The 25,018-nt window shown below is 41.8% G+C and overlaps 1 protein-coding gene, 1 non-coding gene and 1 pseudogene across 52 annotated transcripts in view, besides 4 other annotated features; 1 reads left to right on the forward strand and 2 right to left on the reverse strand.

The window, feature by feature from the left end:
- Positions 1 to 25,018, reverse strand: part of USP28 (ubiquitin specific peptidase 28) — a 77,698-nt gene that overhangs the window by 48,330 nt on the left and 4,350 nt on the right. For 28 of the 51 annotated variants that reach the window (NR_174609.1, NM_001400791.1, NM_001400790.1 and 25 more), the window contains 2 exons: positions 8,054 to 8,131; positions 6,297 to 6,429 (listed from right to left, as the gene is read on the reverse strand). The exons of 11 other annotated variants lie outside the window; for them this stretch is intronic. Coding sequence is in view for 23 of the 40 variants with exons in the window: in NM_001400791.1 (NP_001387720.1) it covers positions 6,297 to 6,429; positions 8,054 to 8,131 (211 nt within the window). In the remaining 17 variants the exon portion in view is untranslated. The remainder of the gene's footprint in view (positions 1 to 6,296; positions 6,430 to 8,053; positions 8,132 to 25,018) is intronic. 12 more of the 51 variants (NM_001400801.1, NM_001400788.1, NM_001400793.1 and 9 more) reach the window with 2 other exon arrangements.
- Positions 3,456 to 3,997: an enhancer, noted in NCBI's record as "OCT4-NANOG-H3K27ac hESC enhancer chr11:113720382-113720923 (GRCh37/hg19 assembly coordinates)". NCBI's record gives its function as "activates a minimal SCP1, AML or CMV promoter by ChIP-STARR-seq in naive and primed H9 embryonic stem cells {active_cell/tissue: H9 hESC(naive and primed)}" and the evidence as "EXISTENCE:reporter gene assay evidence [ECO:0000049][PMID:30033119]".
- Positions 3,998 to 4,538: an enhancer, noted in NCBI's record as "OCT4-NANOG-H3K27ac hESC enhancer chr11:113720924-113721464 (GRCh37/hg19 assembly coordinates)". NCBI's record gives its function as "activates a minimal SCP1, AML or CMV promoter by ChIP-STARR-seq in naive and primed H9 embryonic stem cells {active_cell/tissue: H9 hESC(naive and primed)}" and the evidence as "EXISTENCE:reporter gene assay evidence [ECO:0000049][PMID:30033119]".
- Positions 4,539 to 5,079: an enhancer, noted in NCBI's record as "H3K27ac hESC enhancer chr11:113721465-113722005 (GRCh37/hg19 assembly coordinates)". NCBI's record gives its function as "activates a minimal SCP1, AML or CMV promoter by ChIP-STARR-seq in primed H9 embryonic stem cells {active_cell/tissue: H9 hESC(primed)}" and the evidence as "EXISTENCE:reporter gene assay evidence [ECO:0000049][PMID:30033119]".
- Positions 5,080 to 5,619: an enhancer, noted in NCBI's record as "H3K27ac hESC enhancer chr11:113722006-113722545 (GRCh37/hg19 assembly coordinates)". NCBI's record gives its function as "activates a minimal SCP1, AML or CMV promoter by ChIP-STARR-seq in primed H9 embryonic stem cells {active_cell/tissue: H9 hESC(primed)}" and the evidence as "EXISTENCE:reporter gene assay evidence [ECO:0000049][PMID:30033119]".
- Positions 13,142 to 13,245, forward strand: RNU6-1107P (RNA, U6 small nuclear 1107, pseudogene; annotated as a pseudogene).
- On the reverse strand, positions 19,048 to 19,109 carry LOC124902821 (U7 small nuclear RNA). Its single transcript, XR_007062998.1, has one exon. It is a non-coding gene; the product is annotated as a U7 small nuclear RNA (small nuclear RNA).

Here is a 25,018-nt window from a genome sequence, read left to right on the forward strand (position 1 = left end):
GTAAGTGAAATGTTTTGGAAATGGATGGTGGTGACAGTTGCACAACAATATGAATTTATTTAATATTTCTGAACTGTACATTTAAGTAGTTAAGATGGCAAACTGTATGTTTTACCAAAAAAGACTGGAAAAAAGAAGAAATACTGTCACATGCTACAACATGGATGAAACTTAAGACAGATATTATGCCAAATTAAATAAGCCAGTCACAAAAAGACAAATACTGTATAAGTCCACTTATATGAAGTATTTAAAGTAGTCAAATTCATAGAAACAGAAAACAGAATGGTAGTTACCAGGGGCTGGGTATGGAGTGCAGATTTGCAATATGGTAACATTCTGGGGGTTGTTTCACAACAATTTGACTATTCTTAACACTACTGAACTCTACATTTAAGAATGGATAAAGTATTTAAAAATCGAATATTTGAGATATCCTTAGATTTTATGTAATGTGTTTTTTACTAAAATAATAATTTCAAGTAATAAATTATCCAATTATCAGGCTGGGCACTGTGGCTCACATCTGTAATCCCAACACTTTGGGAGACTGAGGCAGGCGGATCACCTGAGGTCAGGAGTTTGAGACCGGCCTGGCCAACCAATATGGTGAAACCCAGTCTCTACCAAAAACACAAAAATTAGCTGGGTGTGGTGGCGTGTGCCAGTAATCCCAGCTACTCGGGAGGCTGAGGCAGGAGAATAGCTTATACCCAGGAGGCGAAGGTTGCAGTGAGCCGAGATCACACCACTGCACTCCAGCCTGGGTGACAGAGCGAGCTTCCTTCTCAAAAATAAATAAATTAATAAATAATCCAATTATCACTATAACTATTCCAATTACCATAATTATGATAGAATATTACCATTCTATTTCCATTTATTTTTACCAAAATAATGAATCTAGGTAACAATCATCAATGGCTGCTGAAAATGCTAAGTGAGAAACTTCATAATAGATAAATTAACCTGACAATACCTAAAAACAATTACGATTTTAACAACACAAAAGAGGGCAACCAGACATTATATGCTTCTCAATGTAACAAAATAGAAGATATATACACAACACTACCGATGACACAGTCATGCCAGATAAGCATCTACATTTATAGGAAAGACAGGAGACAGAAAAATCCATTGAAAGATACCACAGTAATACAATCGCCAAACTCCAGAATGTGTGAAAACTGACATAACAAAGGACTTGATTTCTTTGGATATTAAGCTGCAAGAAACGGGACGGGGGTGGGGGGGCGGGGTGGAGATTTATAAATAAAGAGAGTCTTAAAAGACACTTCAAACATACTTAATGTTCTAATTTATTTGGATCATTGTTCTTAACAAAAACTGCCAACACTGTTAATGAGATAACCAGGGAAATTTCTACATGGGGTATTTGATGAGATTAAGGGATTACTGATGATATTAAGGGATTATTTTTAGTGTGATAATGTTGCAGTTTTAAAAAATAAACAGTCCTCTTTTAGAAATGTTACCCAAAAAGCTAAATATAGAATTATCATATGACCCAGCAATTCTATTTCTAGGTATATACACAAAAGAACTGAAAATGGATACTCAGTGAAATAGACACTGGCTTTATCATGACAGGGATATTCACTCACTGAATATGCCCATTACCCAGGTCATGCTGGTTAAGGACACCCCTTCAGTGTGGACCCCTCATACAACATGACTGTAGCAAAACTGACAAACAGTTCTGGAAGCCTTATTAGATTTGCTATCTCAACTTCCTCTCATGGGTCTCACAGATGCTAATAAAAAAACAACAGGTTCATTAACAGGAAAATGGTGAAAGGCAGATGGGAAAAGTCAAAGGACAAAGGTGGAAATGTTTAAAGGATTATTAAGGAAGTGAGTAAAGAAAACACTGATGGGGTGAAACTAAAGGGAAAAAGAAATTTTGAGATAACACAGAATTGATACTGCAGATCAGTGGGGAATTACAGTCTTTCAATTAAACATACTGATTAAACATTTTAATACAGCACTACCAAAGGTGGGTGGACCAAAGGGAACTCTGCTGATTAACCAACATTAAAGGGCTTCAAACAAGTTTCTTGCATTTACCCCAGTTTGGAGAAACTTTACAAGCTGAAAGGCAGAGACCACAAAGAGAAAGATGATCAACAATTGTGTGGGGCAATGTTGAGGCAGGTTAATCAAGATAAAGACTGACAAACAGCCAAGAGTACTTTGGCTCAATCCCTTGCTGGGGACCCAAAGCCTTATGTACACCAGTGGTGAAGGGGTCAGGGTGTGGAGTAGAAACCTTTCTGGGGCTTCGTGACACAGAAGCACAATGCACTGTGATTTCAAAACCTGTTGATAAAGTCCTAATGGAGGCTATACTTAGGAAAGTAAGTGTTGATGGAATTAGGATAAAATTTTATAGGCGAGTTGTTATATCTGAAGCTGCTTCAATGTGAAGTGGTTCCATCTTTTCTACTTGATTGTATTATGGGGATGGATACTGTATCTGCCTGGAGAATGTTCCCTCTACCTACTCCTGTAAAACAGAAGGCATGTAAACTTGTCCTTCAAGCAATAATAATTAGACATGCTAAATGGGAACCAGAAAGATTCCCTGAGCCTACACAACAGAGAATTGAAGCTGAAGTGCTGGTAGGGACAAACTGATTGCGGAGCGTTTACCAGGGCTTATGGCAAAAGCCTGTGAGTGCCTCCCAGAGATGACTCCTGAGACTTTGGACTAGAGAATTACCACTTGAGGGGCATTTATTACCTTGCTATGAGACATTAATTGAAGCTACCCCTATAATTGAGGACATAAAATAATCTTGAAACCTGAAATACTCATGCTGTCTTGCTGGCGGATGTCAGAGAAACACTTCAGTGAGGATGGCAGTGCCCAAGAGAGTTCCATAATACAATGGAAATGGTTTATACAGGCTCTTGCTACCTGGAAAATGCAAGGAGGTCTTTGCATTCCCCAGGTAGCAGAAAGCCTCTTTTCCCCTAGGACTGACTCTGGAATTGTGTGAGGAACTGCTGGATCCTATCCACACTTTGACAGTTTCCCAATAAACAGCTCCCAATAGACCAATAAAGAGCTGCTTGGTTTGCAGATGGCAGTTCCAAGGTGAATGGACAACATCCTATTTGGAAGGAAGGACGCCAATGGGATCAAAGAAGGTAAAAACAAATCAGCAGCATGTGTTGATTGCATGTTGTTTTTCTAGCAGTGATGGAAGAATTGAACAGTGATAAAAGCCCGTGTTAGGCTTTTTACTCACTTATGGGCAGTGGCCAGTGGTCACATGATCAGGCAGGAGAGCAATGGAAACCTGGCCTATTAAAGGGATGTCCGTATGAGGCATGGCCCTATGGAAATTTGAAGGGCGCATTAAAGTAGGACATGTCGATGCCAACCAGAAGAAATCCCTTAGATGTGTTGATATGGGGGTACTGCAACAGTGCAGAGATGGGCTGAGTCTAGACATGTTCCTTTTCCACCCTCTCAAGAACAAAACGCCAATAAGAACTGTTCTGTCTGCCAGGAAGAGAAAGATAGTGCCGACAGCTATGGGGAGATTCCCTGGTGGCAAGGCCCTGAACGCTGCTGGCCAGTGAGACTGATGCTGGCAACCCTAGGGGACTACAAATGGGTCCTGACAGGTATAGGCACTGACTCTGAACTGGGTTTTACTATCCCAACAGACCATGCAAATGCTTTCAGTGCTAAAGAAATACCACAATAGAACCATTTAAAAATTTCCACCTTCCTGGAGTGAGCCGTTTGACTCTCCCCTTCCCCATTCTTTTGTTAATTAACCTAATGTTTTTATTAGCATCTGTAAGACCCATGAGGGGAAGCTGAGGTAGCATTTCACAGGAGAAGGGTGACAATTTCCCAATCTAAGATAACAAATTTGAGAGCAATGGTTACTCTCAAGCCCTGTTAAAGAGAGTATAAATAGGTAAAAAATTATTTTGGAAAAGACTGTCATTACCTATAAAGTTGAAGATAAGCGTATCTTAATACCTACCAACTACATCACTAGATATATACACTAAAAAAACTCTCGCATACAAGGACAAGCAGCATGAATCCGAACAGCTCACAGCAGGCTTGAATAGCAAAAGCTTGAAAACAACCCCAAAGTCAATCAACAAATACATACAATGTGGTATATATTCAGACCATGGAATACTACACACCAGTGAAAATGAATGAACTACAGTTATAATCCTCAGCATGGGTGAGTCTCAAAAAGAACAATGTTGACCGAAAAAAGTTGCAGTGTGTACCAAGAGAAACATATGAGAATACTCACAGCAGCATCATCCAGAATAGCTCAAAACTGTTAACGGCCCAAATGTCCATTAACACCACCTCGCCTTCCTCCCAGAAGGTTCCAGAAGGTTCTCCTTGGTCTCTCCTCCCAGAAGCCTCCGTGGCTTCCAGAGTCCCATTCTCCTGGCTTTCCGTGGGCACTCTTCACCTCCCCAGACCTCTGAACATAGGCAGCAACCAGTGCTTAAGCTGCAGAACCTTTTCTTTCCCCTATACCCACTCCCTTGGAGAGCTCCTCAGTCTCACAGCTTTACAGAGCCTTTATAGGTTACGATTCCAAGTCCACCTACCTCCAGCCTGGACCTCTCCTCTGAACTGTGCACCTGGGTCTCCACCATCTTTCTGACACTTCTGCCGTGAATGTCTAACAGGCATTTCAAATTTAGTATTCCCCAAACTGATCTCTTCATCTACCATCTCAAATCTGCTCCACCTACAGTGATTCCCATCTTGGTTAAATGCTTCAGTTGCTTAGGAAAAAAATTTTTGAGTCACCTTTAACTCCTCTCTCTCTCACACAACCCTACCTCCTCAGTAAGTAAATCCTACTGCCTTTACCTTAAAAATAATATATGCCGGAATGCCAGCACTGCTTACCCTCCACCACAGCAGCCTGGCCTGGGTTCCCTAATCTGACCCATGCTTGTCACTACCTCCTCCCCCACATTCTGTTCTCAACACCACAGTCAGAGTGATGGAAAATGGAAATCAGTTTATATCATTCCTTTGCTCCAAACTCTTCAAAGGCTACCCACCTAACTCACAGCAAAAGCTAGTACTTAGGAAGGTTCTGAATGATCCACCTCCTTCTCTTTCCATGGCCCCATCCCTTTCGGCCCTCCTCACTCACTAAGCCTTAGCCCTGGCCTCCTTGCTGTTCCCTGAGCAAGCCAAGGTGCACTCCCATCTTAGGGCCTCAAATGACTTACTCCCTCACCTCCCCTGCACATTCTTAAAAGTCCATCCCAGCCAGGAGCAGTGGCTCACACCTGTAATCCTAGCACTCTGGGAGGCTGAGGCGGGTGGATCACCTGAGGTCAGGAGTTCAAGACCAGCTGGCCAACATGGTAAAACCCCGTCTCTACTAAAAATACAAACAATTAGCCAGGCGTAGTGGTGGGCGCCTGTAATCCCAGCTACTCAGGAGGTTGAGGCTTGAACCCCAGAGGCAGAGGTTGCGGTGAGCGCAGATCGCGCTATTGCACTCTAGCCTGGATGACAGAGTGAGACTCCATCTCAAAAAAAAAAAAAAAAAGTCCATCCAATTGGAAATACAGTCCCCAGCACTCTTTTTTTCATTTCTTTCTTCTGTCCTTTTTCTCCATGGTATTTATCACATTCTAATATATTAATAATTTATTTACTTGTTGATCTTCTCCCACTAAAAAACAAGCTAAATGCAGGCAGGGCTTCAAGAGTGCTTGGCACATAGTTGGTCCTCACTAAATAAATGCTAAACAATGAGTAAATGAACAAATGAAACTTTTTTTTTCTTTTTAAGAGACGGAGTCTTGCTCTGTCGCCCAGGCTGGAGAGCAGTGGTGCGATCTCAGTTCACTGCAAGCTCTGCCTCCCGGGTTCATGCCATTCTCCTGCCTCAGCCTCCCGAGCAGCTGGGACTACAGGTGCCCACCACCACACCCAGCTAATTTTTTGTATTTTTAGTAGAGACGGGGTTTCACCGTGTTAGCCAGGATGGTCTCGATCTCCTGACCTCGTAATCCGCCTGCCTCGGCCTCCCAAAGTGCTGGGATTACAGGCATGAGCCACTGCACCCGGCCAGAACTTTTTACGTGCTTAGAATTGTGCCTGCCACATAGCAATAGCTCAGTAATAAGCTGTTATTACTATTATTTTCAAAGGGCTGATGTGATTGACAGGGAACTCACATATACTTGGTTTGTTATTTTCTGCTAGTTCAGCAAAGGACCAAGACAGGATATATGGTACCTACTTGCTAATACTTCCTTGTTGGCAGCACTCCCCTCTACTTCAGATGGTTCTGTAGCAACAGTGTCTTGACTGGGCTCCTTAACTCTCTCATCAGTGAGAAGGCTGACTGCCTGAGTAATGTCACCATTACTGGCCTATGGGAGAAAAAGACAATAGAAATTTCAAAAGTAATCATAGAATTTAAAACCAGTTTTGAGTATTAACTTTATTACCCTGGTGACACACTGAGTACTTTCAGGCATAATTCTAGGGTAGAATTATGAGACTATGGTGGACAGTAGGTCTAATGTGCTTGAAGCGTCTATTAAATGCCTCATTACAGGAGGGAGTTTCCATGCTCTGACTTCCCACAACACCCAAACAAAAGTGAAATCTTGATGGAGATTTGTTCCCATTGCTTCGGATACTACTACTCATGATTTCTCTGAACAGTCTAAAGCACGATGTGTCAAAAAAGGGGGCTGGCAATTAACATAGACATTCTAAATGAAGTCAGCCCTACAATAAAAATGCCAAGCAGGGCAGGCGCAGTGGCTCACACGCCTGTAATCCCAGCACACTGGGAGGCCAAGGCGGGCAGATCGCTTGAGCCCAGGAATTGGAGACCAGCTTGAGCAACTTGGCAAAACCCCATCCCTACCAAAAATACAAAAACTAGCCAGGCGTGAGTCCCAGCTACTAGGGAGGCTGAGGTGGGAGGATCGCTTGAGCCCAGGAGGCAGAGGGCAGAGGCTGCAGTGAGCCGAGATCACACCACTGCACTGCAGGCAAGGCAACTGAGTGAGATCCTGTCTCCTGTCTCAAAAAAAAAAAAAAAAAAAAAAAAAAAGCCACGCAGTTACCTGTTTTCTAGTGGTGATCATTCTTGTTTTTAATGTTTTATGAGGAAACATTTCTAACATATATACCAGGAAAGGGAATAACAGAACCCCATGTACCTATCACTCATCTTCAACAATTACCTAGTCACTTAGTCATAACCTTTCTTATTTTCTCTAAACCTCCTATACTCTCGTAGATATTCTGAATCAAACCCTAACCATCTTATCACTGGTCAACATTTCAGAACATATCTTTTAAAAATATAACCCATGGCCCGGCGTGGTGGCTCATGCCTGTAATCCCAACACTGTGGGAGGCCAGGTCGGGTGGATCACTTGAGGTCAGGAGTTCAAGACCAGCCTGGCCAATATGGTGAAACCCCGTCTCTACTAAAAATACAAAAATTAGCCAGGTGTGGTGGCGCATGCCTGTAATCCCAGCTACTTGGGAGGCTGACTGAGGTGGGAGAACAGCTTGAATGCGGGAGGGAGAGGCTGCAGTGAGCCAAGATTGTGCTACTGCACTCCAGCCTGGGCATCAGAGTGAGACTCCATCTCAAAAAAAAAAAAAAGTATATATATATACATACCTTAAGAATAACAACAGGTTTTTTCAATATCAGATAACCAGTTCAAACTTCCCTGACTCAAATATTATTTAGTTTGCTGGTTTGGATCAGGAAATATAAGGCCTAAACAGTGCAACTGGTTGATGTTTCTTAAATCTCTTTTATACCCTGCAGGGTTACCCGAACCACAAATCTCCCCCAGCCCCTTATAATTTACATGTTGAAGACATTGGGTCAGTCATTTGACCTGTAGAGCTTCTGTCCCTATATGTGCTTTAATTTGGGAATAGAAATAGCTTGAACTGACATAACTATAATATAGACAGCTGCTTTAAAGCCTCCTGACTAACAGAGATCTGGAAACCAACCTTCAGAGCTTCATGGAGAAAGGAAGGGTCCTGAATGCCTGTGATTTCTCTCAGTTGATTTAACAGCATTTGGCAGCTCTATATTTGCAAAACAAAAAAACCACAAACATGTCAGTCAGAAAGTAAACCTGGGTACATTTAAAGAATAACTAAAAGCATCTTGGATAAACAGGCCTGAGGCTTGCCCAGGCTGGAGTGCAGTGGCCGGATCTCGGCTCACTGCAACCTCCGCCTCCCAGGTTCAAGCGATTCTCCTGCCTCAGCCTCCCGAGTAGTTGGGATTACAGGCACAGGCCACCACGCCCAGCTAAGTTTTGTATTTTTAGTAGTGACGGGGTTTCACATTGTTGGTCAGGCTGGTCTTGATCTGCTGACCTCGTGATCCACCCGCCTAGGCCTCCCAAAGTCCGCTGGGATTACAGGTGTGGGCCAATGCAAACGGCCCTGCATTTTTTTACTCTAAAGAACCAACAAGCTCCAAGAAACAAGGTATTGGCTGTCAGAAATATTCTGAAATGCCAAATCTATTTCTCTTTTAAAAGTTCAATCATGGAAATACCTTTGGTACTTACGAAAGAAATAGATGACAGTAAAATTACAAATATATAAAACATTTAAATGTAATATTCTAGCCTTAATGGACACTTAAAAGTTCTCCAGGTTTTTCTTTTGGTAGGCAGTGCATTAAGTAGGGCATATAAGGAGTCCGGGGAATTTGCATGGATATAAAGATGTGCTATTTTAAGCTTTCCTGCACATGCCATTAGTGTGTATCATTTTTCACTGACAATAAGTTTCCAATCATGTAATTAACCAATGATAACACCAACATATTTAAAACTCTGTGTTTGACTAATTAAAAAGTACAGCTAAAGCTAGAATTTTCTCAATTAAATACATAATTTCAAAGGGTATAAAGTATGAAATGTTTTCTCTTCATTAACCTAAATCATGGAAAAACCTAAATTGTTAACTTCCAGCTAACACAAAATCAGTTTACAACCCCTTCAGCCTTAACATCTTCACTCTATCATTTTATCCTGTTTTACACAAAGACAATACAAAACACCGATTTGCAAGTACAGCTCAATCTAAACAACTGGCTGGCCCAACTTGAGACACAATGATCTTTTTAGATGAATGTTGAAAACAAAGTAGTTCGAAATTAATTCAGCAACAAGAAATCTAATTTATACCATTCCTAAGGTTATGCTTAAATTAAGTTAGTAGTATGTCTCAGAGAGATAGCCTACATTTACTCCCAGCTATAATAGAAACAGTATCTTATGTTCTTCAACAGCTGTGGGCCCAATGCAACACTAAAGTATTACACAACTAGAAATAACTAACTGAAACATCCCTCTAAAGTCCTAAAGAGGTCGGGCATGGTGGCTCATGCCTGTAATCCCAGCACTTTGGGAGGCCAGGGTGGGCAGATCACTTGAGGTTGGGAGTTCGAGACCAGCCTGACCAACATGGCCCCGTCTCTACTAAAAATACAAAATCAGTTGGGCGTGGTGGCACGTGCCTGTAATCCCAGCTACTCAGGAGGCTGAGGCAGGAGAATTGCTTGAACCCAGGAGGTGGAGGTTGCAGTGAGCCAAGATCGCGGCATTGCAACTCTAGCCTGGGCAACAAGAGCACAACTCCGTCTCAATAAATAAATAAATAAAGTCCTCAAAGAAGCACCAACAGTCGTTCTGCTGTAGTCAGACTATAGTCATAGGCTACAAATGGAATCCTACCCTGCTGAGACCAGCAGACTTTCACGCTATGAGTCTTGTCAACTCCAGTCATTGCCTGTGCACTGGGAGAGTGATTATCATACTAAAAGGTATCCAGATTCAGCCTGAGCAAAAACTAAAATCGCAAGCATGTAATTTTTAGAAAAATTAAATACTAGTTGTTTTAAACTAATTCTAATTCCATTTGATTTTACTGTATAAAAGCGGTATGAATCTATGTATCTCACACAAATCACACATAATTTTCTAAAAGATCAACATCAATATACCCAAAAAAGGGTGGAATAATCGAGAGGGGGAATCAGTAGTATATTAATACCAAACTAGCGTCAAGAAGGTAACAATGGGATAATCCCATCTTCATTGGGAATTATTCTGTATAAAAATTAACATTTATGATTCAGAGAAAATAATCCAGTAAAAAGTAATAGCTAACATATACTGCTTACTTTTAGCCAGGTGCTGCTATAAACACTTAGCAAGTATTAACTAATTTAACTCACTGAACCCTCATAACAGACCTATGACATAGGTATTACGCCTGTCCTACAAAAAGCTGAGGCACAGAGAGATTAACTTTACACAAAGTTACTGCTGATAAGGGATGCACTATACCACGCTGTATCTGAGAAGACAAAAAGATAGGCAAGAATACCTATCTAATGCAAAAAAACGCAAATATCTTATTCTTGTATGTTTTATTTATTTTTATTTATTTATTTATTTCTGAGACAGAGTCTCACTGTGTCGCCCAGGCTGGAGTGCAATGGAGCAATCTCGGCTCACTGCAACCTCCGACTCCCGGGTTCAAGCGATTCTCCTGCCTCAGCCTCCCAAAGTGCTAGGATTACAGGTGTGAGCCACCACACCCAGCCTATTTTTATATTTTGACCTTGATCTTTGCACCCTAACAAGTTTATTTTAAAAATCTGCTTGTCCTTATACAATCACAAGTTTGATTACTTAGTAGTGCAATCTGTTCTAAACCAGCTATCATCAGAAGTAGAGAGGTAAATATTACATTTGACTAAATCTAAGGTGCCATCGGTTGAAAACAAAGAAAGGAAAACTGCTGCCACTTGAACTATGACACAATGTCTTCACGGCAGTCCTGGGAGACATATAAATAAGTCACACTAGCTTCTTAAATCTCTGAACTTTTTCATTTATGTTGAGGAATACAGCAATTTCCCCTGCTTCCAGGTGCACTGCTTGGCATGTGATAGGCAATTCTTTCACATATTTCTCGGCAACAAAACTTAACACAGCATAATACATTTATGCTATCTTCCCTTCTGGGTTGCATAAAGCACTTGACTGTAGCTTTGCAAGAAAATCTGAAACTGTAAACATTCCTCCAAAGGTAAATATTTTGCTTCATATAAAATCAAATTTATACCCCGCCATTCTGCTTCCATGCCTTTCTTCATACACAGGTTTTTTGGTTTTTTTGTTTTGTTTTAATCTCAATGTTGAATCACAGTGTAAATTTTTAAGTGACATACGCAATGGCAAGTAAACCATGTGGTACTAACAGACTGTCAACTGTTGTTATAACAATAGTAACAGCTATGACCAGGTTCATACAAGTGCAGACAATGACAACATCACATCTGCTACTTGGATGATAGTAAAAATGTTAAGAACATCTTGATCTCAGAGATCTCAGAATGCCAAATAAATGTGAATCAATGAAATATAGTATCCAAATACTAATTTACTAATTATTTACATTTGACCTTGGATTAAAGTCAGTTACACTGTAATATTACCATTCCTCTTTCTCCATTTTGTAATAGGTAGCAGTGGACATCAATATATCTGGGATAACACAATCAGGAAAGGAAAATAAACTCTTTCGTTTCCTTTTTTTTTTGAGACAGGGTCTCGCTCTGTGGCCCAGACTGGAGTGCAATAGCATGGTACAATCTTAGCTCACTGCAGCCTCGGCATCCCAGGCTCAGGTGACTCTCCCACCTCAGCTTCCCGAGTAGTTGGGACTACGGGTGCCCACCACCACGCCCAGCTAGTTTTCCTATTTTTAGTAGACATGGGGTTTCTCCATGTTGGCCAGGCTGGTCTCAAACTTCTGGCCTCAAGTGATCCACCTGTCTCAGCCTCCCAAAGTACTGGGGTTACAGGCGTGAGCCACTGCACCTGGCCTAGTGACCTTTTTTTAAAGGCTACTGGGTAGAGATGACAACTATGTAAAATAATTTTGTATAGCTCCAACAACAATGTTCTACATGGAAATTCAAATCCAAATTCCTCATCTTGTCATTCAAAGACCATTACCTGATCCCCCCTTAGCCTGTTCCACCTTTTCTCCTCTCAGTTCCTTACTGCAAACTCATTCTCTCATGCATAGACTGTTGCTCCTAAAATCACTAGTAATACCACCTACATTATTAAACTATGGTATGCCAACTACATTCAGGGGTTATATTTGTCTTACCTCCTCCATATGAAGTCCTTCTAAGAACTCTGGCCCATACTGTTCTCTCCCCTTTCTCATCTCCCATGTTAAGGAAATGAATACGCCTGTGACTGAATGTGGCTCCCTGTCTTCACTTGATATTCCTCATCATGTGGTTCTCTAATTGTTTTATTTTATTTTAATTTTTTTTGAGACGGAGTCTTGCTGTCACCCAGGCTGGAGCGCAGCGGCGCAATCTCAGCTCACTGCAAACTCCACCTCTTGGGTTCAAGCGATTCTCCTGCCTCAGCCACCTGAGCAGCTGGGATTATAGGCACCCACCACCACGCCTAGCTAATTTTTGTATTTTTAGTAGAGATGAGGATTCATCATGTTGGCCAGGCTGGTCCCAAACTCTTACCTCAAGTGATCCACCCACCTCGGCCTCCCAAAGTGTTGGGATTACAGGCATGAGCCACCGGGCCAGGCCTGTTCTCTAATTGTTTTAAATATGAAATTCTTGCCTTCTTTAAAGGAAGAATCATGCAGTACACTGCCTAATTTGAATCATCCATAGGACAGTGCTGATAATAATGAGAACTAACATTTATTGAACAACTACTTTAATTTTTTTTTCTTTTTGGAAATGGGGGTCTCGCTATGTTGACCAGGCTGGCCTAACTGCTGGACTCAAAGGATCCTCCCACCACAGCCTTCCAGGTTGTTGGGACTACAGGCACACATCACCATACCTGGCTTAACATATGACAGGAAACAGGCACCTTACATGCATGTAATCCTAATAACAAAGGCAGGCATTGCACACGTTAGGAAATTAAGGTTTACAAAATCTATTTATCATCAAATGACTTGAATTAAAAGCTAAATCAAAGATAGCTATAAAACACATAGCTATTAAGGGTCTAAGTGCTTGCTTGAGCAGTACATTAACTAAAATTGGAACAATACAGAGATTAGCATGGACCCTGTGCAAGAATAACATGCAAATTCATGAAGTGTTCCATAATTTAAAAATAAAAATAAAATGTAAAGAGTATGGTATGAATAACAAATTTCACATGCATTATTTATATACATATACAAATGCTATGACATGACCCAGTCTTGTAAAGATTTAGCTAAAGTTCTTAACAGAACCCGCACTCCAAATCCTCGTACTATATATATATATTTATATAAATATTAATTTTACAGTAACACTAAACCCATCAGGATCCTACCATATTACTAACTCACTTCACCTGAACTTCACAGAAAGAGGATTTAAATATTAACTTCACTCTACCTTGCTATATGTAAAGTACACACCCAACAAGGAGACAAGACAAAGCCTGTACTCCTCTCACAATGAAGTCAAATAACTTGCAAGAGCCAACAGGTTTGCATTTCCTGAGCTAAATTCACATTGTTTTCACAAAACAAAAAGTACTCCCTTTTCTTGCCCAGAGGCAGTAAAGAAAGACAGGCAAACACAAACCTTTACCAGGAAGGAACTCAAGCTTTTTGACCTCACTGCTACTCAGTGGTTTTGGTGCAATCTAGCCCACTTCTCAGGAAGGAGATTTTCTTAGAGCAAAAACAACTCACCCACAATCAGCAATTAACAAGATTATTCAGACACTAAAAACCTTAAGCTATCAAGTTTCTGTAACAATCAATACCTGGCCTGATCCCACAGTAACTAGGTTAAAACTCTCTGATGAAATAATGCAAAATATTTCATTACTAATCGTTAAAACTCCTAATTTAGCATTGTGATGAGAAGCTTTATAGGTTATTCCATTCCTTCAAACAGTGATGCTATTTTCATCATTCTGATGCACATATTTCCTGATATCAATTGTCTAGTCTTACAAAGACATTTCTAAATTTACAACTAAGTAAATAATTAATAAATGTTCCCTTACTCCAAAGAACTACCAAGGTGTGCCTAATAAAATTCCTTCCAAAGCTAAAGATCTGGTTCGCAATTATAAAATAAAACTTAAGTACCCAAGGGAAGCAAAAAAAAAAAAAAGAAAAAACAAAAAACAAAAACAAAACCAACTGAAGAGTCAAAGAAAACATATAGTATCAATGCCAAAAACTCTGGCCAGGTGCAGTGGCTCATGTCTGTGATCCCAGCACTTTGGAAGGTGAAGGCAGGCGGATCACAAGGTCAGGAGTTCAAGACCAGCCTGGCCAATATGGTGAAACCCCATCTCTACTAAAGAAAAAAAAAATACAAAAATTTGCCAGGCATGGTGGCGGGCACCTGTAGTCCCAGCTACTCGGGAGGCTGAGGCAGAGGAATTGCTTGAACCTGGGAGGCGGAGCTTGAAGTGAGCCAAGATTGCACCGCTGCACTCCAGCCTGCACAACAGAGCAAGACTGTGTCTCGAAAAAAAAAAAAATAAGGGCCGGGCTTGGTGGCTCATGCCTGTAATCCCAGCACTTTGGGAGGCCGAGGCAGGCAGATCACGAGGTCAGGAGCCCGAGGCCATCCTGGCTAACACAGTGAAACTCCGTCTCTACTAAAAACACAAAAAATTAGATGGGCGAGGTGGCAGGCACCGGTAGTCCCAGCTACTCGGGAGGCTGAGGCAGGAGAACCTGGCGTGAACCTGGAGGTGGAGGTTGCAGTGAGCCAAGATCGCACCACTGCATTCCACTCCAGCCTGGGCGACAAAGCGAGACTACACCTCAAAAAAAAAAAAAAAACCACCTCTGTCTGGACAACAGAGATGGTTGCTAACCTTTCCAACCTCCATAAAACAAGGAATGGCCCTCAAAAGCCTTGGTATTTTTTCAGTTTTTCTTCCAGCAACAATGCCCTGCTGATCCAATTTATTCATGGAATAGAAACCTAAAGTAGCCATAAGAATATGGCTGTCTAAAAAAGATAAACAGCAGCTTTCTGTGGACACAGCTAAATTCCCTGAAATAGACTACTTGATAATTTTTGTGAATGATGCAAATGTCAGTACATGATGAAAATGCCTGTTTGAGTTTATTAACTGGCTTAAAGTTTTTAAAAACCATTAAAAGTGTTTAAAATTTAGCCACTATTATATCATGTAGAGGGGTTAAAACTGGGACTTAAAAACAAGAAAAAAAAGGAATTAATCATTATTTACTTTTTAAATTTTTTCCATCTCTTTCTTCACATGTACTAAGAGATTCCAATAGTACAAAAGGGTATAAAATGAAAAGGAAATCACCTTCTTCCCGACCTAGTTCTATTTCCCAGGGGCTACTACCATTAACAGTTTCTGTTATCTTTCCCGAAATTGTCTATGCACATGAATATATTTTTTCATATGATACATAATGTCCTATACCTTGCTTTTTCCTTATTTTAGAATACATTAAGACAATATTTTTCATTTCTTTGAATACATGTTCCAACTAAATATGAGAAATGAGGCTGACAAACATATCGAACACATCTCCAAAAATGAAGGAAAATACAATTTTTAACAACATATTGGTAGGGCTAATTGAAAAACTGGGAAAATATCAGGGAAAGATATGAGAAATCAAATTTACATGCTTACAGTTTTAGAAATATAGCAATGGTAAAATTTTAAGTTATTACTAGCTGGGTCTTCGTGTGTAGTTTCTATTTTTAATAAATAACAGAGATTGCTGGGTGTGGTGGCTCACGCCTGTAATCCCAGCACTTTACGGGGCTGAGGCGGGCGGATCACCTGAGGTCAGGAGTTCAAGACCAGCCTGGCCAACACGGTGAAACCCCATCTCTACTAAAAATACAAAAATTAGCTGGGTGTGGTGACAGGTGCCTGTAATCCCAGCTACTTGGGAGGCTAAGGCAGGAGAATGGCTTGAACCCAGGAGGCGGAGGTTGCAGTGAGCTGAGACTGCGCCACTGTACTCCAGCCTGGGCGACAAGAGCAAGACTCTGTCTCAAATAAATAAATAACAGAGATCAGAGAGGTGATGTGGGATTGGATTACAAAGGGTTCTAAATGTCAGGAAGAGTTTAGGTTTGATCTGATGAACAATGGATAATCACTGCAGGCTCCTCAGCAGGGAAGATATACGAAGGAAGAAAAGGCATTTAAGTGGATTAATCTAGCCCACGTGAACAACTGGTTCAACGTGGGATGACACTAGGAAAAGAAAGCTTGAGTTACAGGGCTACTGAGTAAACGAACTGTGACGAGAGAGGCAGGATGCTGGTAGGCAAAACATCAAAGTAGGACATACTCTGAACATCTCAAAGAATGAAGAGAGAAAGCTTAGTCATACATTTGCAATGGATGCCTAAGAGAATGCCATTGCCAATAACATAAAAGGAAACCAAACAATGTGATATACCACACCAACAGAATGAAGGAGAAAAAAAACAATGGTCACCTTGATTGATACAGAAAAACATCTGACAAAATCCAACACACATTCATAATAAAAACAATCAGAAAACTAGGAATAAAAGGTAATTCCCTCAACATGATACAGGGCCTTTATAAAAAAACCAAGAGTTAAGATCATATTCAATGGTGAAAGGCTGAAAGCTTTACCCCTAAAATCAGGAACAAGACAAAGATGCCCACTTTCACCACTGCTATTCAACACTGTACTGGAAGTTTAAGCCAGAGCAACCAGGCAAGAATAAAAAATAAATGGCACCTAAATTATAAAGTATAAAAAAGTAAAACAGTATTCACAAAATGACATGATCCTATATATACAAAATCCCAAAGATTCTGCAAAAAAGTTACCAGAGCTGGTAAACAAATTCAGCAGCTTCAAGGTAAACAGGCAAAATTCAGTTGTGTTTTTATAAAACAGCAATAAGAAATCAAAAAGGAAATTAAAAAAAAATTACATTTACAATAGCATCCTAAAGAATAAAATACTTAGGAATAAATTTGACCAAAGAGGTAAAAAACCTGGGCCGGGCGCAGTGGGTCACTGCTGAGGCTGGGTGCGATGGCTCACACCTGTAATCCCAGCACTTTGGGAGGCTGAGGCGGGCAGATTGCTTGAGCTGAAGTGTTCGAGACCAGCCTGAGCAACGTGGCAAAACACATCTCTACAGAAAACACAAAAATTAGTCGGGTGTGGTGGCGCGTGCCTGTAGTCCCAGCTTCTCAGAAGGCTGAAGTGGGAGGATTGCTTGAGCCCAGAAGATGGAGGTTGCAGTGAGCCAACATTGTGCCACTGCGCTCCAGCCTGGCAACAGAGTGAGACCCTGTCTCAAAAAAAAAAAAAAAAATTAGGCCGGGCGCGGTGGCTCACGCCTGTAATCCCAGCACTTTGGGAGGCTGAGGCGGCCGGATCACAAGGTCAGGAGATCGAGACCATCCTGACTAACACGGTGAAACCCTGTCTCTACTAAAAATACAAAAAATTAGCCGGGCATGGTGGCCGGCGCCTGTAGTCCCAGCTACTCGGGAGGCTGAGGCAGGAGAATGGCATGAACCCGGGAGGCGGAGCTTGCAGTGAGCCGAGATCGCGCCACTGCACTCCAGCCTGGGCGACACAGCGAGACTCCGTCTCGAAAAAAAAAATTGCTGGTCACGGTGGCTCACGCCTGTAATCCCAGCACTTTGGGAAGCTGAGGCGGATGGATCACCTGAGGTCAGGAGTTTGAGACCAGCCTGGCCAACATGGTGAAACCCCCATCTCTACTAAAAATACAAAAAATTAGCCAGGCATGGTGGCATGTGCCTGTAGTCCCAGCTACTCGGGAGGCTGAGGCGGGAGAATCCCTTGAACTCCAGAGGTGGAGGCTGCAGTGAGCCAAGATCTCACCACTGCACTCCAGCCTGGGCAACAGAGTGAGACTCTGTCTCAAAAAAAAGGTAAAAAAACTGATGAAAGAAGTTAAAGACCTAAATAAATTGAAAAACATCCAGGTTCATGAACTGGAAAACTGTACTAGTCAGAGTTCCCCAGAGAAACAGAAGCAAAAGGAGATAAATATAAGAGGTGAAATTTATTATAAGGAATTGGCTCACATGACTGCGGAGACTGAGAAGTCTCAAGATCTGCAGTTAGCAAGCTGGAGAACCAGGAGACCAGCGGTGTAGTGTTAGTGTAAGTATGAGACCCAAGAACCAGGAAAGTTGAGTGTGTAAGTTCCAGTCTGAGTCTGAAGTCCTGTGAACCAAAAGAGCTGATGGTTGTCTAAGTTCCAGTGCCAGGACCAAGGAAAATCAATGTCCCAGCTCAAGTAGTCAGGCAAGCAAAGTTTCCTCTTACTCAGCATTTTTGTTCTATTCAGGTCTTGATTGAATGAGGCCCACTACCCACATTAGGGAGTTCAAACTGCTCTACACAGTCTACTGATTCAATGTTAATCTTATCCAGAATCACGCTCACAGACACACCTAGAATAATGTTTGACCAAATGTCTGCATACATACCTCATGGCCCAGTCAACTGACACATTAACTTAACCATCATGAAGACAGTATTGTTTTTTGGAGATGGGGTCTGTCTCTGTCACCCAGGCTAGAGTACACCTCAACCTCCACCCTGTAAGCTCAAGCGATCCTCCCTCCTCAGCCTCCCAAGTAGGTGGGAACACAGATGTGTGCCATCAAGCCCAACTAAGATTTTTCATATTTTCGGTAAAGGTGAGGTTTCACCACGTTGCCCAGGCTGGTCTTGAACTCCTGAGGTCAAGCAATCCCCCCCGTCTCGGCCTCTTCCCAAAGTGATTACAGGCGTGAGGCACTGCGTCTGGCCACGAAGACTTAATACTGTGAAGGTGGCAATACTACTCAAAGCAATTCAAAAGTTCAATGTAATCCCTATCAAAATTCCAATGGTCCTTTGTGTGTGCGTGTGGCTGGGGGTTGCGGGGAACTCTAGTGAAAACCAGAAAACCTGCTAGACAAATTCTAAAAGAGCTGCAATGCTTTGGCCTTTCTTGCAGAAACAGAAAAGCTGATCCTCAAATTCACACAGAATTTCAAAGGACCTGGAAGAACTAAAACAACATTGAAAAGAAGAACAAAGTTGGAGGACTCACACTTCTTATATCAAAACTTAGTATTAATCCAAAGCTACGGTTATCATAACAGTGTAGTACTGGCATAAGGACAGATATATAGACCAACAGAATAGAACTGAGAATCCAGAAATAAACTCGTATCTGTGGTCAACTGATTTTCAACCAGAGTGCCAACACCATTTGATGGGGGAAAAATCATGTCTTCAACAAATGGTATTGGTACAACTGGATATCCACAGCAGAAGAATCACACTGGACCCCTACCTCACACAATACACAAAAATTCCTCAAAATGGATCAACAACCTAAATAAATAACTAAAACTATAAAATTCTTAGAACACAGAGATAAGTCTTCATGACCTTGGATTTGTCAATGGATTCTCAGCTATGACACCAAAAGCACAAGCAACAAAAGAAAAAAATAATAACACTTTTGAGCCAGGCATGGTGGTGTGTACCTGTAGTCCCAGCTACTTGGGACACTGAAGTGGGCTGATGTACTTTTCTGCATCAAAGGGCATTATCAAGAAAGTGAAAAGACAACCGGTATACAAATTCAAGAAATAAACACATACATCAAGAAATCCAACAAGAAATATACAGTGCTGGCCGGGCACGGTGGCTCATGCCTGTAATCCGAGCACTCCGGGAGGCCAATGTGGATCACCTAAGGTCAGGAGTTCAAGACCAGCCTGGCCAACATGGTGAAACCATCTCCACTAAAAATACAAATATTAGCCAGGTGTGTTGGCACGCGCCTGTAATCCCAGCTTCCTGGGAGGCTGAAGCAAGAGAATCACTTGAACCCAGGAGGCAGAGGTTGCAGTGAGCCGAGATCAGACCACTGCACTCCAGCCTAGGTGACAGAGCCAGACTCTGTCTTGGGGAAAAAAAAAGAAAAAAGAAATACACAGTGTACAAATTATCAAGAAAGTGAAAAGACAATGGGAGAAAATACTTTTAAATCATTTATCTGGTAAGAGTCTAGCATCTGGATGATATAAAAAACTCTCTTTGAACTCCCTTTAAGTCAACAACCAAAAAACGAGACAACCCAATTCAAAAATGGACAAAGAACTTAAAAAGATATTTCTCCAAAGAAGATATATAAATAGTCAATAAGTTTATGAAGACACTTAACATTAGCCATAACATTAACATGGCCAAATCAAAATCATGATGAGATGCCACTTCACACCCATTAGGATGACTGTTATCTAACAAAAACAAAAAATAACAAGTGTTTGATGAGAAAAGAGAAAAACTAGAACCCTTGTGTATTGCTGGTGGGAATATAAAACTTCCCCAGCAACCTTGGAAAACAGTCTGGCAGTTCCTCAAGAAGTTAAACATAGAATTACCATATGAGTCAACAATTCCTTCTAGGTATATACCCAAAAGAAGGGAAAACAGGTACTCAAATACAAGTATATGAAAATTCATAACAGAACTATTCATAATAACCAAAAGGTGTAAATAACTCAAATGTCCGTCAATGGAAGAATGGACAGGCAAAACATATCTATACATACAGTGGAATATTACTCAGTGATTAAAATGAAAAACTCATACATGCTACAACTTGAACAAATCTCAAAAACATTACAATAAACGACAGATGCCACACATAATAGGTCACATATTGCATGATCCATTTACATGAAATCTCTCTAATACGTAAATCTAGAGACAGAAAGTAGATTGGTATTGCCAGGGGTGGAGGGCATGGGGGAATAGGGAGTGACTGCTTAATGGTTACAAAGTTTTCTTTCAGGGTAATGAAAATGTTTTAGAACTAGACGGAATTGGTGATTGCACAATATTGTGAATATATTAAATGTCACTGAACTTGTACACTTGAACTTTTTTTTTTTGGAGACAGAGTTTTACTCTTGTCACTCAGGCTAGAGTGCAGTGGCATGATCTCCGCTCACTGCAACCGCTGCCTCCCGGGTTCAAGTGATTCTCCTGCCTCAGCCTCCCAAGTAGCTGGAATTACAGGTGCTCACCACCACATCTGGCTAATTTTTATATTTTTTAGTAGAGACGGGGCTTCACCATGTTGGCCAGGCTGGTCTTGAATTCCTGACCTCAGTGAGCCACCTCACCCAGCCCCACTTTAAAATAATTTTATGTTATATAAATTTTGCCTCAATTGAAAAAAAAAAAATCACCTGGGTGCAGTGGCACACACCTGTAGTTCCAGCTCTGCAGCAGGCTGAGGCAGAATGATCACTTGTGCCCAGGATTTTCAAACAGTAGTACACCACGATCATGCCTGTGAATAGCCACTGCACTCCAGCCTGAGCAACATAGCTAGACCCCAACTCTATGAAAAAACAAATGAATAAGGAAACCTGTATACACATCCCCACACAAAAGGAAAGAAGGAAGGGGGGAGGGAGGGAGGGAGGAAGGGAGGGAGGAAGAAAGGGAGGAAGGGAGGGAGGGAGGGGACACAAGAAAGTACTAACTTGGGCAAGAAGATTGAAAAAGAAAATGTTGTTTAGAAAATCTTCTTAGGGTTAAAGTGCCTACCAGCCATCATGTAGCATGCAGCTGGTACTTACTGAGGCAGATCTTTAGTTTGGTTTTGTGTGTCTGATATTTTGACCCCTGTTTTACGTAGAAAGCCTAGACGCTGGAAATAGTGCCATGCAGCCCAGACTCCAGCACACATCAGCCTCCTGGCAAATCTCAATCTTCCTCAGCATCAGTTTCCAGAATGGAAAATGAAGTACACCAAAAGCTTTGACAGCCCTGTATGACTATCAAAGGAAGTACTGCAAATAAATTGTTAGCAAAATGAAGAAATGCAATAGAAATGAAAAATACTGGGACTTGCCTGTTCAACTAAACTCCTCTAGAGTTTACAGTAAAAATACTGATATCCTGTGTTATAGTTTTGGTTTTATCACTTACTTGCTGTGTCACTTTGCAAATTCTACTTCCTGCTCATACTAAATTTTATTTCATAGAGTGCCTATGAGGGTTCAATGAAAAGTTATTAAAATTATTAAAGTGCTACATAGTCAAGTGGTAAGTCAGAAACTTTGGTTTTAGAAAGGCTTGTACTAAAGTCGGAGAAATGTTATGCTTCAAGTCAGAATGGCTTGAAGTCACAGCTCTGCTACTTATAATTCAATCATGGTCATAAGCTGCATTTCTCATCTGTAAGATAGAAGCAAACAGACTTCAGTTTAAAATCTCATACGAATAAAGAAAAAAAGAGATAGGTACCATGGTTCACGCCTGTAATCCCAAAACTTTGGGAGGCTCAGGCGGGAGGATCACTGGAGCGCGGGAGTTCAAAACCAGCCTGGGCAACATAAAGAGACCCCCCATCTCTACAAAAACTAAAAATATTAGCTAGGCATGGTGGCACATGTCTGTAGTTCCAGCTACTCTGTAGGCTGAGGTAGGAGAATTGCTTGGGCCCAGGAGGTTGAGGCTGCAGTGAGCCATGATAGAGCCACTGCACTACTCCAGCCTAGGTGACAGAGTAAGACCATGTCTCAAAAAAAAAAAAAAAAGACAAAAGAAAGAAAAGGAATAAATAAAATAAATCTCATATGAGGCCCTTATAAGGCATACTAACATCTGAGGTCAGGCACGGTGGCTCATGCCTGTAATCCCAGCACTTTTGGAGGCTGAGGCAGGATGACTTGGTTCATAAGTTTGAGACCAGCCTGGGCAACACAGAGAGACCCCATTGCTAAAAAAACTTTTAAAATTAACCACAGGCTGGGTTCGGTGGCTCACGCCTATAATCCCAGCACTTTGGGAGGCCAAGGCAGACGGATCACCGGAGGTCAGGTGTTCAAGACCAGCCTGGCCAACATGGTGAAACCCCGTCTCTACTAAAAATACAAAAATTAGGCGTGGTGGCATGTGCCTGTAATCCCAGCTACTTGGGAGGCAGAGGCAGAAGAATCAATAGAACCCGGAAGGCGGGGGTTACAGTGAGCTGATCTCACGCCACTGTACTCCATCCTGGGCAACAGACTGCGGTCCGTCTCAAAAAATAAAATAAAACAAAAGTAGCCAGGTGTGGTGGTGCATACCTGTGGTCCCAGCTACTCAAGTGTCTGAGGATTGCTTGGGTCTGGGTGGTCAAGGCTGCAGTGAGCCTTGACGGTGTCACCACACTCCAGCTTGGGTGACAGAGTGAAACCCTATCTCAAAAAACAAACAAGACATCTCAGTTTCCTCATCAGTAATAGGGTAATAGTTCACACCTTGCTGGGTTTTTGTAAATAAAAATGTATGGAAAAGTGCTTAGGGTGGTACATAGCATATGGCAGACACGAGTAATACAAGTGTACATTCCCATGCCTAGTATAACAACCCTGGGAAAATAAGTATGAAGCAAACGTTTATAGCCAAGGAGGTTGATATTCAAGCAGACCTGTTCAAAAAGCACTGGGAAACAGAGTATAGAAGTCATTTGCAACTCAGGATTAGAAATGTAGATTTGGAGCCAGGTGTTCACGCCTGTAATCCCAGCACTTTGGGAGGCTGAGGTGGGCAGATCACCTGGGGTCAGGAGTTCAAGACCAACCTGACAAACATGGAGAAACCCTGTCTCTACTAAAAATACAAAATTAGCTGGGCATGGTGGTGCATGCCTGTAATCCCAGCCACTCGGGAGGCTGAGGCAGGAGAATCACTTGAACCCAGGAGGCGGAGGATGCAGTGAGCCAAGATCGTGCCAATGCACTCCACCCTGGGCAACAAGAGCGAAACTCCGTCTCAAAAAACAAAACAAGAAAAAAGTAACAGCAAAAAAGTGGTAATGAGGGATCATAAAAGCATAAAATAATAAAAGTATGAGGGGGCCAGGTGTGGTGGCTCATGCCTGTAATCCCAACACTTTGGGAGGCCAAGGCAGGAGGACTGCTTGAGCCCAGGAGTTCAAGACCAGCCTGGGCAACATAGCAAGACCTCGTCTCTATAAAAAATTAAAAAAACAGCCAAGTGCGGTGATGCACGCCTGTGGTCCCAGCTACTCAGGAGGCTGAGGTGGGAGGATCGCTTGAGCCTAGGAGGTCAAGGCCAAAGTGAGCTATAATCACATCGCTGCACCCCAGTCTGGGTGACAGAGGGAGAGATCCTGCCTTGGCAAAGTAGGCTGCTGAGCAGATTCTGATTACATAAAACCACTCACTGCCTTTCAACCTAACCTGCTGCTGCCTAGTCAGTCCCTCTGCAGGCCTCTGAACAATCAGCCATTTGCTGGAGCCCAGACTGGTCCACACGGCCATCTCATTATTTGGCTTTTGCAGAAGCTGTTATTGCCACCTTAAGCTCTGTAGCAGAATCTGGGAACCAACCTTCCTCAATCTCCTGTCAGCTAAGAGTTAGTCTTGCTCAAGTCTGTCTTTTCCAAGTTTTGTATATTGAGTCTGAATACATTGTCACTGGAAAAATGTTTTAGAAATGAAACAGGTGGGGTTAGAAACTTTGTTCCAAAAGCAAACAAGAGGAGGAAGGTGGAGACAACAGCTGGACTGGGCAATAGACACTTTTGTTGTTGTTATTTGGTTTCAAGATAGAGGACAAGTGCACGGTAAAATGGAAAATGCAAATTCAAAATGTAATATGCAAATGAATCACCCAAGAATCTTGTCAAAAGGCAGAAACTGATTGAATAGGTCTAGAGTGGGGGTACAGGCAGTGGTATGCTGATTGGCAGTGTATGCTTGTTTCCTTGGTATAAATATTCCCACCTTGGCACAGTTATCAACACGAGGTCATTGAACACAGAGCTGGAAAGAGATGTACAAAATCAGCTGGAGAGGCAGAGCAAGCTGG

Source organism: Homo sapiens, chromosome 11 (assembly GCF_000001405.40).
Source record: "Homo sapiens chromosome 11, GRCh38.p14 Primary Assembly".
Taxonomy (NCBI): Eukaryota; Metazoa; Chordata; class Mammalia; order Primates; family Hominidae; genus Homo; species Homo sapiens.